This window comes from Homo sapiens, chromosome 4, assembly GCF_000001405.40.
Source record: "Homo sapiens chromosome 4, GRCh38.p14 Primary Assembly".
Lineage (NCBI taxonomy): Eukaryota > Metazoa > Chordata > Mammalia > Primates > Hominidae > Homo > Homo sapiens.
Genome location: NC_000004.12, coordinates 167,076,113 through 167,090,128, shown reverse-complemented (window position 1 = coordinate 167,090,128; position 14,016 = coordinate 167,076,113). Strand labels below are relative to the sequence as shown.

The following is a 14,016-nucleotide window of genomic DNA, read 5'->3' as shown; positions in this document are numbered from 1 at the left end:
CATAAGAAATAAAAACATATGTCCACACAAAACTTGTTATAAATATGCATAGCACTTTGGTTCGTAATTACCCCATACTGAAAACTACCCAAATGTGCAGCTGCCGAAAGGATACCCAAATTGTTGTACATACAGACAATGGAATATTACTCAGCAATAAAAAAAAACCCAGACTACTGAACATTACCACAATATGGATTAATCCATACTACGGGAAAGAGCAAGGATTGAAAAGCTGTGTACTCCATTATTCCATTTGTATAACATTTGAAAAAGACAAATCACTGGGGGAAGAAAACAGATCAGTTTTCACAAAGGCCTGAAGATAGAGGATTTACTATAAAGGGATATGAAAGAACTTTCTCAGGTGATGGAACTGTTCTATATCTTGTTTGTGGTGATATTTACATGACTGTATATATTTGATACAACCCACTGATGTGTACATCTAAAGGGAGAAATATGACATGCATAAATTAGACCTCCCATAAAATTGACATAAATTTAAAACATATATCATTTTTTTAAAAGTCTGATTTGTGGGGTTAAAAATTCCCCAATATACTGGATATGTGTATTTTGGGCTGAAGCTGTCAAGGCCTTAACTTTAGATTTTGTATAAAAGCCATATAAATTTTCAAAAGTAACCAATCACAGAATAAAGAGTGTACAATTGTCATATCAGTGCACGGGCTAAAAGAATTAGAAAACAGAGCAAAAACTGATATTTTTAAAATTCAGGGAAAAAATTAGAAAATTAAATTTAAAGAGTAAGATAGAATATCTTAACTCATGCCACTTCCTCTGGGAAGCCATCTCTGGACATACTATGTGAAATTGCTACATCCTAGACATTCTTAGTCTTCTGTATTTTCTTGTAGTTTTTGTTTGTTTGGTCGGTTGTTGTTTTTTTATTAACAGTTGTATTATCTCAAATGGCATGTAGAAATACATGTATTTATATATATATGTACACACACATATATATAAACTTATTTTTAATCTTTATTTTAAGTTACATATCAGATTTGTCTATTGTTTTTCATTTATAGAATACCAGCACCTCATAACTAAGTGCAGTTTCAATATGTATATGCTGACCTAATGAATTGATGAATTATTGAACATAACAAATAAGCTTGGTTTTTGACATATGCAATAACCACATCTATGATGAAGAATGATTGATTAGTTCTTTATTGTATGGGAACATATGTGAATGACTAAAAATAAACCAAGTATTTACAACTTGTTTAGTACAATTACAAGGTAGGATTCATCATCGAATGTAGGTACTAGCTACTATAAAATGGATTTTTTTATAGTATACAAAGTTTTAATACTTGCATTGGCCTTAAAAATGAGCAGCCAGGCATGGTGGCTCACGCCTGTAATCCCAGCACTTTGGGAGGCCCAGGAGGGCCGATCACGAAGTCAAGAGATTGAGACCATCCTGGCCAAGGAGGTGAAATCCCATCTCTACTAAAAATACAAAAGTTAGCTGGGCATGGTGGCACACACCTGTAGTCTTAGCTACTCGGGAGGCTGAGGCAGGAGAATTGCTCTAACCTGGGAGGCGGTGGTTGTAGTGAACCAAGATCATGCCACAGCACTCCAGCCTGGTGACCAAGTGAGATTCCATCTCAAAAAAAAAAAAAAAAAAAAAAGTTTTCATAGGTGTTATTTGCAAGACAACCTACACTTTCTCCATGTTTGGAAACAGAAAGTAATTCAAGACTGGTGGCCTTGCACACCAGGTTTCTGAGAAAAGATTAAAACCCTAATGCAGTGATTCTCAGTGTGGTACTGACCACAATGGCATCAGCATCATCTGAAACCTTATCAGAAATGCAAATTCTGAGGTTTAACCCAAGACCAGCTTACTGCACCTCTGAAGGTTGAGCCCAGAAGTTTATGTTATAACAAATTTCTATGTAACCAGAAATCCATGTTATAGAAGGCATCTATTGTATGTTAACTTTTCTCCTATGCATCTAGAATAGTACTTGTTATATATCATCCTGCGGAAAAATTAAGAAAAGAGCCATCTTTACTTTTGCTTCTAAGATTTTTTTTTTCAGGAATAATTTCTCTTATTTCTGATAGACACAGCTCATAAACTCTCTTAGTGTCAGTATATTGGTGGTATATGTTATCAGCGTTTGCTTATCTACTACCATCTTTTTCTGGTTCCATAAAAACAACAGCTAAAAAAAATCTATACCTACATCATTGATTTTATTAAGCACAATTCTGATAGCTAAAGGCAGAAGGCTTTTATTTAGATTATAAATAAATGATGTTTTGAAACAATGTGTACCAGAATTCTATCCTGATAGTCCATTTTAGCTCCCTAGTATGTGGGAAGTAAATGAAACATGAGGAAATGAAATATCTTCCATGTCAATAATGGTGTTTACTTTATATGTGATAACTTGAAATAAATTCAATAACTTTAGGCGATTTACTGCAGGAGCAATCTCAGATAGCATGTACTCACCATCAAACAGTTCTAAATGACTCTGAACGATTCCTAACATCTATCTTATGGTGAAATGTTGTAAGAATTGTTTAAGCACCTAGGAGGAAAAGGAACAGATATGTTCTGGGGATAAGATTTGTGGAAAAGTATGCTCTGTTGTCACTAGTATAAGAAAAAGTAAATTTTCTATCAGTGGTTCTTACTGTAACGTCAATATATTTGTTACAAATGTCAGAATAATTGCGTTCTGTATTTCAAGAGAGTAGTGATGACACATGTTTTGAAATTCTACATCATAATATGATAGTTAGGAAAGCAGAAACTGAGGATTCTCTGCCTAGTTTCAAATTCTGGCTCTGAAATTTATAAGCTCTGTGGTCTTGGGCATGTTCTTTATGGAACAGCTATGTTTCAGTTTTCTCACTTATAGAAAAGAAGTTATAGTAACAACTGTACCTCATAGAGTTATGATTATTAAATGAGTAAAAAATTTTAAGTTACTACAAACACTGCCTGGTACAGAGTAAGCATTATCTAAGAAATAAAATTATTTGCCGACAAATTATTTAGATCATTTTGTTCAAAGAAATATGTTTTGTTTATATTCTTATAGATCCAGGTAGGCCAAGTACTATAGTCTGCTATTCCTGCATCATGATTGCTATCTGGGCGGTCTACTCATTAATATTCATTGTCAAGTCCCTAAACTACCTTTACTTATCCATTTCTGAAGATGGTGAAAAAATACTATACTTGAAAAAGTTTAAATTTGTAATCTCATTAATTCAATGATCAAATATTTCTCAGTCAACTGTTTTGTGCGTTGTGCTAAAGGCTGTAGAGGCTATATAAAGAATGAGCCTTGGTTGTTTTTAGGGAGCTTTTGGCTCTGTTGAGTAAAGTAGATATTTATATAATATAGCAGAAGTAGAAAGTGAATATTTTCATCTGAAACAGGGAAAAATACAATGACAGTTTAATGACCCTTCCTCTGGGCTTGGAAGAATAAAAGTGTTGATTGTAGCAAAAATGCTGTGAAATAAACATTATCATTATTCCCATTTAACAGTTGTAAACAGAACAAATCTGAAATTTCAAGGTAACTTTCCTCAAGCCACAGAGCCCGTCAGTTAGCAGAACCCAGAACCATGTTCAGACTCATCTGATTCCAAAGCCAGATCCTTTTTAGTCTACTTCTTAGGTAAAGGGATGACAGAAATAAGATCTATCTGAACTTCCACTATCAGCATCCTTTTGTTTTAACTTCTCTTGTGTTTGAGCTATTGATCGTTAGTGAGTGGACAGTATGTTAGTCTCACTTTAATAAATGGATTTTATTATATGAAGCTATGATGTAATTAAAATGTGGTTCATTTTGCAATAACAAAACAAGGACTAAAATTAATGTCTTCTGATGAACTATTATAGTTAAGTATATTATTTCCCACAGATTTTCAGAAAACATTAAAATCAATAAGCTAAGTAAAATTTCGCTATTTTATTATCAAATAATTTTATTTTTATGACATTTAAAAAGCTTATTTGTTGAAAAATGGTTGAAACAGATAAAGAACATAACCCCATGAATACATTAGTGAAGAACTGTAAAAAGAAAGTTTCCACCGATAATTTACTTTCTCATAGCCTAGTAGGTCAAATATCTTATTCTGTTCTTCCCACATCACCATTGTAATCTGGGTAGTTTATCCCAACAATGGATGTTTATTATTAAGTACCCATAATATATCATGTGCTGTGTTTGACATAAATACCTATATCATAATGAGATGTCATTTCTGTTCTGGGAACTTAAACTGAATACAAATATATATTACTTCTACTTTGAGGTGGTATGGACTTACCATCTTGCCAAATAAGTTGCCATCTGTACAGGGCCTTATAAAAATGGACTGTATTTCCCCAAGTAAAAATGATGAAGGAAAGTTTTACAGAAACTCAGTATAGCACAGCATGAAAATCCAGTCATTCCTAGAATGTATATTTAGAATGATTCTCTTCTCTTTTGGCTATGACACATCTTCCATCATGACGCTAGATTCCTCTTTTCAAACGATGAATTTCGCCACATGGCTCTCCCTCATTAAAAGAAAAATTACCTCCCATTGAAAGGAAGGAAGCAGATATTTCAAATGAGTATTGTTTGATTCCAAAGTCACCAAATTCATGACCTCTTAAAAATGGTCATGGAAAGAACATTGAAACTGGAGACAGAGGTCCTGGAATAAATTTAACTTTCATTTTTTAACAACCAATATGACCTTTCTGGGCACCTGCCAGAGATCAGTCCAATTTGATAAGCAATTTAATAGCTAAGGAAAAAAGTCTGTTTGGGCATTTTTTTTTCTCTCTTTTCATTTTTTCTCTGCTCTATAAAGTCTTTTCCCTTCCAAGATAAGCATCTCAAATTCCTATAGTCATTCCTCAAAGGACATTTGTGTTTTTTTTTTTTTTCTAGATTCAACTATCAGACAAGGGAGGAATGAACTGGGGTTATTACTTCCTTTGATCCCAACATTTTGCTTGCCTGAATTAGATGACATTAGAGTTTTTATCCAGATCACTATTAACTGTGTCAAATGGTTTGCTCATATAAGCTTCCAGTCAAGTGAACCCATCACCCTGGATCCCTCTGGACAAAAGTAGAGGGAAGGGATCAAAAACAGATTCTTCAATTAATAAGCCTCCCACTGTCAAACTGAATTTCCAGGGGCTGTTTGTACCTACAAGACTTTTTATTATATAATGGGTTTCTATGTATGATTGCTCTCATTTTTAATATATTTATAAATCACATTGTCGTCTAATTTAACCTTTTAATGTGAAACTTAAAAATATTATTCTTGATGGTTATTAATAATCAATGTGTAGTTTATATTTACTTTCATTCTAACTTTCACCAAAGACACCAAGATGTAAATTGAACTCTTAGGAGGGTGGGCACCTCAGATACCTAAGCTCCTTTAGTGTGGATCCCTCCCAGACTTCCCACTTCCTATGATAGGAAATTTAGAATAATTTCAAGACCGAAGGCAGTACTAGTCATCACTATGACCTTTTCGGCTACACTCCACATACATAAGGGCTGTTGCAAAAGCAGCTGTCAAGACAATGTTTCTGGACTATGCAAGTTCTATCTAGATTTCCATTGACATCAGTGTATTTGCCTTGGGGCTGTGCAGTGACATTGAGTATCAATGGTGAACTTATTCTCAGAGAAGAAAAAATATAAAAGAGAGAAATATACAGAAAAGGAAAATATTGCAGAGAAACTGAACTTAAAAAAAGAAAAAATATGCAATAGTTTCTTATGGTAGAACCAATGTTATTATGTACATTTCCTGTTTGGAGGTTGACAGAGATTATGATTTCCAGCATATTCAGGCAATGATCAACTATATCATTTTTTCTGGTTCACATTTTCTCATGATATGGCCTATATCTTTTAATAACTTTTAATATATAATAAATTGAGAGACCTAATATTAGGTGCTCTTGTACATGTATGTTAGCAACACATATTCTCATAAACCATGAAATTTGAGACTAATTATTATACTGTGCTTATCCTCTTAAGTTTCAAACATTGCAAACCAAGGATTATTCTCCATATTTTACATGACCTTGAAAAACACCTGACCTTTCTGCTAAATAGTCACCCAAGTTACTGACATTTCATATCAATAAAAAGTTTTCAGTTAGCCTACCCAGGCGATGTACCATTATTTAACATTTTGTGATCTTGGTAGAAAAATGTAACATAACAATTTAGGTTTAAAAGCCCTGAAGCTAAAGAAACTAATTTCTAAGACTTCAGTGTTATAACTGATGTTCAGGAACTATGAACAAAGAAAATTAATAACTTGTATAAGTTTCTATAATCCTCTCTTGTTATCCCTATCTTTCTGAAATTCATATAAATTTTATCAATGGGTTTCACATCATTCATGCAGACTCAATACTCTGCTGAATGATATAACCTAGTTTGACCACAGCATTTCAAGTAGACAATTATACTAGCAAAAGTCCTAAACTAAGCCTGCCCCTGAAAGTAAGTATAAAATGAACCTGAAATGAAAGGTCATACTTAGTTGTCTAAACAAAATGACAATACAGTCCTTCACACAGCGGAGCAGTCTGCATGGAGATACCAGGTTGTACACTCAGCTATATTGTAGATAGAAGCACTGGGAAAGGAAAGGCCACGTCAGTGGGCTTCATCCAGCCACAGGGACACTTAGAGTTGAGCAAGTTGAATTCGTTATTCACTGCAGCAAGAGAGAATGCACATGGTGGGGAACTGTGGGGCATCTCAGTAGGAGCAGATGACAACCTGACACAGGATTTGGGCTTGGTTGGAGGAATCTTAGGGAAAGTCTGAGGAAGTAGAGGTTTGCTTTGGGTTGGGTGTCGACAGAAATTTTGTGGCAATTCTATGACTAGCTATCTCAATACATCTTGTCTGTAGGAAGAACAGCCTAGGGCAACCATAAAGCTGTAATTAGTTAAGAAGTACCACTCATTCATTGTGTGAGGGGGGCTCTTTGGTATTTTGAAGTTTTTACAACGACGTTGTCTGAAATGAATGTTCTTTAAGATTGTTAATATCCGACAGGAGAACATTATGGCTTATCTGTGAACCCAAGAATTATAAAATCACAATGGGCCTGAGCTGTGAAGTCAGATCAGTTTCCGGTATCACGGTTGGCCTTTCTCTCTCTCTCTCTTTCTCTCTCTCTCATACCCATTCTCTCTCTTTATTACTCTCTCACCCCTCCCTCTTCCCTTCCTTCCCTCCCTCTGTCTTCCCTCCCTCCCTCTGTCCTCTCTCTGCCCCTTCCTTCCCTTCCCTCCCTCCCTCCCTCCCTCCCTTCCTTCCTTCCTTCCTGGAAGAAAAACCTCCAACATGGCAGTCTTTTGAGATTTGTGTTACAACTAAGAACTGAACAAAGATCAAGGAAGGCTGTAGGTCCCTGACCCCACAACCTCACCAAGACATGAGAATAAGAAAATCTTAGTCTAAATTCATCCAACTTCATTTTAGTAAACAAGCATAAAACAGTCATATTGCCTGCTCGTATGTCCTTGAGTATCTTTCCACAGATATTCCTCATAACTATGAAACTCTGTTGTTGAAGTCCCCAAAGCAGTCACGGACAATATGTAAACAAATTACAACACAACTTTATTTACAAACAGACAATGGCCAGTTTTGGCCTGCCAGCAGTAGTTTACAAAACTCCCATGTAAAGGCAAAACCAACTGATCTTCTGGTCATATTGGGCAACTTCTGTAAAAGATTTGGCATAAAACCAAACAGATCACACAAGGGGTTTGAGGCTCACACTTTTTCTATCCAACCATATGACTAACTTATACTACATAATTAACTACCTTTCTTGTGCAGATTTCTATGACATGAATATTGATTCCTGACTAGGGGATTTCAAATGCTAATTAATCAAGTGCTAAGCACCTTTTAAACATAAGTTGCACACATGTGCTTCAAACTCTTCATACCAAAGTATTTAAAGAAAATTATCACTCAGATGATGTATTTGTGAGATTTGGGTTTGTCAGAACAGAGATTCACTTGGGTACCCTAAGTATTGGATATTGAGTGTGAGGATGCATGTGTTGATAAGAGACATGCATGAAGAATTCATGGGAGGAACAAAACTGTACTACAGCTTGACATTAGGAAGGCTGGAATGAAATGCCATTCAGGAGATGAGACAGAAGTTGGCCAGTTCTTTTGGTTTCCTCCTGTATCTTAATAAGACTCACTTCTGCTTTCCCTACTCCTATTACCTTATCCATTCTGTATCTATATATTTTCTCCTTCACAATTTCATATTAGCTGTAGATTTTGCTTAGCCATCCCTTGACTTTCTCCTATTTTTGGCTCCCTCCTTGCCTCTCTCTTTCCCAAGGTATTTCCACCTGCTGATGTTGCTACTGAATCGTTAGTCATTCACAGAGTTCCCATTTGAATTCTCCAGACAGAGATTTTAATGACAACTTAATCCTGTTGTAAAAGTATTTTTCCATCCTTGGTTTTGCTTTTCCTTTTTGGTGGGGTTGTGGCAGAAATATCTAAATTGTGTGTCAGTATTGTCTTTATTTCATATTAACTACACATGAACATAATATGCATGAGTGAGTGAGTGAGTATATGAATGGAGAGTTGACTCTCTACAATGTTAACAGGAGAGCCACTGACTTTTTTTCCTTTTAATATTATTTCATAGTAAAAAAAGAAGACATCAACACTTTATTTACTGAAAGTGTGTTAAATGCCAGCAATTGTGCTTGGTGTATTTATGTGTTCCATGTAGTAATATCTTCAAAGCCCAGCAAAGGTGATATTATTCACAGTTTTTCAGTTGAATAAATTGAAGCTAAAAGTATATAATTTTTTCAGTGACCTTCACCAGTTAGTTGTTGAGCTAGAACTTTTACCTGTCTGTATTATTTCTAGATTTTCTGCTATGCCATGCTGCCTCAAAAGCCAGCATAAGAGCAAAAACAGGGATTTATCAGGTGAGCTTCAAAGAAGCATTCTTTGAAGAATATAGGATATCATCATCAAGAATATAGGACATCTGTAATTCCAGCTACTCGGGAGGCTGAGGTAGGAGAATCACTTGAACCCAGGAGGAGGAGGTTGCAGTGAGACGAGATCGTGCCATTGCACTCCAGCCTGGGCAACAAGAGCAAAACTCCATCTCAAAAAAAAAAAAAAAAAAAGAAAGAAAGAGAATATAGGACAGAATCATCAAGATAAGACAAGAAGTTGGCATAGAAAATGGTAATCTCAAGGTCTCCTTTTGACTTGTGGTGGGTGTGCCTCCTCCCAGCCTCCTTGCAAGAGATAATCTAACATGCCATTTATTTTTCTATCTCGGGTAGGTAGAGGTAGATAGTATGACTACCATCAAAATCTGAGTTAAAATTGCATGGCCTCTGTTGCTTTTGTCATTCCACTTACTCTTCTAAATCTCACTCTTAACCTAATTCCTCAAGGTGCCCCCTAGATTTTTAAACACTCTGTTTAGACGTCACTCCTAGAGCTCTGCTTTCCTAAAATGGAATATGATCTTAAATGATTCTTTGTCCTTTCTATTTCCTTTGGGTGGAGATGAGAGAAAGGCTCATTCCCGTTAATAAGAGCACAGTACTGCTCAAGATTGCTGTGATTTCTTGTTAGGAATGACTGATTGTATGTTCTCAGGTAATGTTTGCAATATAAAAGGAAAGTTAATCAATCAAAATAACTAATTGTTGGGACAATTGGAAACTTGTTTGCAAGTGGCATTCCTTAGTATCAACTGACCTTCTTATGCCTTCTCACTTCCTCAGCCACTAGTGCAACAGAACATAAGTCAGACAATACTGATGGCAAATTGTCTCTTCACCTGCAAGGTGAACTATCTTAGAGAGTAAGCAGTTGAATATTAGGGACATATAGAGTTCTAAGGCCAAAATCCATGAAAAGTACTCAAGTTTGGAAAATGGTGGGAGTGGAGAACATCTGTTAAAGGCAAATTTGCCATCTATGCATTTTGCAAGAACTCTGCTTGGTGAGAGATTACCTCCTCCCCCCAGATAGCAGATTCTCTCAACTTCCTCTTTGTAGGGATTTTAAACTCTACTCACTGCTTTTTCAACTGTCTAAATCCTTTTATCTTTATAGCACATATGGCCTCCCACCCTGAAACTGGTAGGCACAGTTTCTGATCTAATTTAATACCCACATTAGAGTATGTTTTAAATATCATATCACCAAGTCCATAAACAACTATGCTAATGTATGAAGTAGCTCAGCACTGCTCAAAACACATTACAGTTGCCAACACCATAAAATCCCATTTACTTTTTCTTAAAAGTGTTTGATATCGAATTTGCTTTCCCTGAACTGTAATTAACAACATTCTGAACTGCTTACAAGATTCAATTGACTGGCATTATTAATCACACATTCACAGAGAAGTTGACCATTACATTTGATTTTTTTTTCTTTCTTATGTGTTTTTGGCATCTAATCACTGATGAAAACTAAGGAAATGGCCCTTTTCACCATGTTCCATGAACATTTATTTTCTTGGTGTATTTAGTCTATAAAGATTTATCCCCATTTCTATTGGATGCTGATTCTAAATTTCTATAGACATGGAATTAAACCAAGAAACAGTATTTCTTGTCAAGAGGAACAGTTTATTCCAGATAATTAAACCCAGAAATGTTCAAAGAAAACACAGCAAGGAGCATAAATTAGATTCTATCAAGGGATATAGGTTGTTCCTCATGAATGGATACTGACAAAACAATTTTGTGGGAAGCTTTGAAAAGTCATTAATAGTTTTGAAAGTTTTGAAGACTAGCACATTTTGAAGAGGAAAGAAATAAGGTTTAGTTCTGTGTTTTAAAAATGTACTTCAGATATTCACAGATGTTTCAATGTTTTGTTTTCTTATATTTGACAGTATCTTTGAATATGAATCTAAGATTTCTGTGCATATACCTTTATAAATGCTAGAGACTTTTTTTTTTTCATTTGCCCAAATGCCATTTGGAGATGCAAAGAATAAAATGTAAACATCTAAATAGAATAAATTTAGAAAAACTGAGATCTTTCCAGTGATTGTAAAACTGCTCTCCTATTTATAAAAATTATATAGAACTGTATTGAGTACAAAGCCCCAGAGTCAGACTCTAAGCTCCAGGCATACAGGGAGCACTTTAGCTTTTGCCTAGAGCTGCAATATAAGACGACTGTAAGTATCTGCTGAGTAAATCAATAAGCAATAATAATTTAGGTTAGGATTCCTAAATTATTTTCCGTAGCAGATTGCTACTTGCACTTGGAAATTAAATAATAAAATTAAATATTAGAAAATTGAAGCATAATAAAATTAACCTCTTCTCATCTGTAAATTGAGGTAAAGGATGATACCTGCATCATAGGGTGATTATGGGTTATTATTATTATTATTATTCAAAGAAAACTTAATACCTGAACTCTCTCTAGGTATTAAGGACTCATGAAAATATGTTAATTTGTTGATTTTTCCAGAATGCATACATCAACCTTAAAACACTTAGGCTTGCTTTGAATCTGGAAATAAATAAGAAATATATATCTTGCAAAACCAACTCTGATTATGAGTTTGCCTATCTATTTCACCTTAGACAACTTACCTTTTGCTGTACTACCTACCGTCCCCATTCCTTCCCAACATTCCAGATCCCTCTGCAAACACACACACACACACACACACACACACACACACACACACACACACACACACACACACACAGAGTTATGACCTGGATACACATAGGTATACATTTACCTATTACATAGGTAATAAACATTATGACCTGATAATACAGAGTTTCTGATCTGATAGTGCCTGTAGTTTCTAGATTTCTTTATACTTCCTTGCATCTCCATCTTTTTGTTAGTACTTCTGCATGAAACATCTTACCTAAGCCACAGCTCTCATGGCATGCATTCTGACCCTGATCATGTCAAACTAAGGAAGGTTTAACATTTTGTATTAATACGTAGCTACATTATGTTGCTACCATGACTCTCTATAGAATGTAAATTACATGAGAGCAGAGACTATGTTTATGCATTTTCATCTTCCAGTGGTTACAGGCTACCATGGTATGGCATAAAGGTGTTAAAGGAATAATTTGTTAAATTAAAGCCACGTTTCCTCTCCATGTTGCCTCCTTTTTCTTTTCTTCCTTCTTTCCTTCCACCTTTCTTTCCTCTCTTATATTTATGAATGGACTCACCTGCAGGTAATAAGTGCAATAAATAATGAAATTAAATATACAAAATACATTACAATGGTTACCAATAGTAATATTTTCTTCTATAATATTCAAAACTTACATAACTTTGGGCCATATTAAGGTGCAAATGAGGAGTACAGAGCATCGATAAAATGAATTATTTGTTAAATATTAGTATTGGGCCACATTAGAAAATCATTCTTTTTCTTTTATTCAAAAGAAGGAACAGGGAAGCAGAATTTTATGTCTTAGATGTTTGAAGCAACTTTCTTTTTTTCTAACTTAAAACACATGTAATATAGAGATTGTCTTTCTGTACACAGGATTATTCTAAAGGGAATCTTGTTCTCTTAAAAATGTTCTGGTAGTTTGAGCTAAGATGCAATTAGATAAGAACATCTTGTGCATTTCCTTGAGTTTCATTTCTACACTTTTCATTTGGGCTATAGCTTTTTTTTCTGTTATGGGTGAGAGAACATTAGTGCAAAATAGTAGGCAATGCAGGATTATTTGTCTCTAAAGAATTTTGATGTGTGTGTGTGTGTGTGTATGTAGAATGATTATCCTTTGAAAACTTATCTCTCTATATTTAATGAAATTATTATCCTTTTAAAACTGACATTTTCAAATCATAAAATAAATACTGAAGGAATCCCATTATTTTAGATGCATATATTATGTAGAGTCACTTAATATAAAATGAAATGAGAAATCTTCTGGTGCCTTTCATCTGTACAATTTTTTGCTTCTTATTTTGATCTCAATTGACATATTTTAATGCAATGTCTAAAATATCAACTCAATTCCATGCATAGTTTTACACATAAGTCTCAGATTGCCAGATATTCATTTTAATCTCATGTGCAGACTTGACTGAATTATAGTAAACGTATATTTATTGGTATGTTTCTAAAAGGATGTAAAAATCGCAAGCTAAGTTATTAAAAGAATATATAAAATTTAAAATGTTTCTAATTTTTACCTTTTGATGGCTCAAATCACATCTTTTTTATTTTCTTGTTATACATTATTGTCTATTATATTGGCTAATGCAAAAAATAGTTTCACAGTGGGTCATAAGCCTAATCAATTAGTGGACACCTAAGAAAATAGGCAGTTTGTACAGTTTTTTAAAATTGTTTATTTTGTAGATTATCATTATAAGGGATATTTGTGAACATACAGAGTATAATTTTTACATTGGTTTCCATTGCATAGAGTGTAAGCATTATTTAAAATCTTCTACTGTGTGTAGTTCATTATAATTAGAGATGTAAATTCAAACTATATAATATTAGCTATGTTATAAAATTTTTCTGTGATTTATTTTTTAATATAATAGACTTTTCTTTTTTTTAGAACAGTTTTAGGTTCCTAGCAATATCGAGCAAGCAGAAGGTACAGAGTTTTCCCACATACTCTCTGCCTCCAGTACTCAAGTCTCCCATGATCAACATCCCTACCAGAGTGATCACACTTTGTTACAATTGCTAAACCTTCTGGACATATCATTAGCCTCCAAAATCTATAGTTTACATTATGGTTCACTGTTGATATTGTTCATTCTACTGGTTTGGACAAAAGTATAATGGCATGTATCCACCATTATAGTATGGCACTAAATAGTTTCCCTGTTCCCCAAATCCTCTGGGCTCTGCCTCATTCTTCTCCCCACCCAAACCCTGGCAACCATTGATCTTTTCATG

General features: G+C 34.5%; 1 protein-coding gene across 12 annotated transcripts in view; it reads left to right on the top strand.

The window, feature by feature from the left end:
• The window catches only part of SPOCK3 (SPARC (osteonectin), cwcv and kazal like domains proteoglycan 3), a 501,562-nt gene that overhangs the window by 144,817 nt on the left and 342,729 nt on the right, over nt 1-14,016 (top strand). For 2 of the 12 annotated variants that reach the window (XM_011532018.2, NM_016950.3), the window contains exon 3: nt 6,883-6,891. The exons of the other annotated variants lie outside the window; for them this stretch is intronic. In XM_011532018.2, the coding sequence (XP_011530320.1) occupies nt 6,883-6,891 (9 nt within the window). The remainder of the gene's footprint in view (nt 1-6,882; nt 6,892-14,016) is intronic. 12 annotated transcript variants of the gene reach the window in all.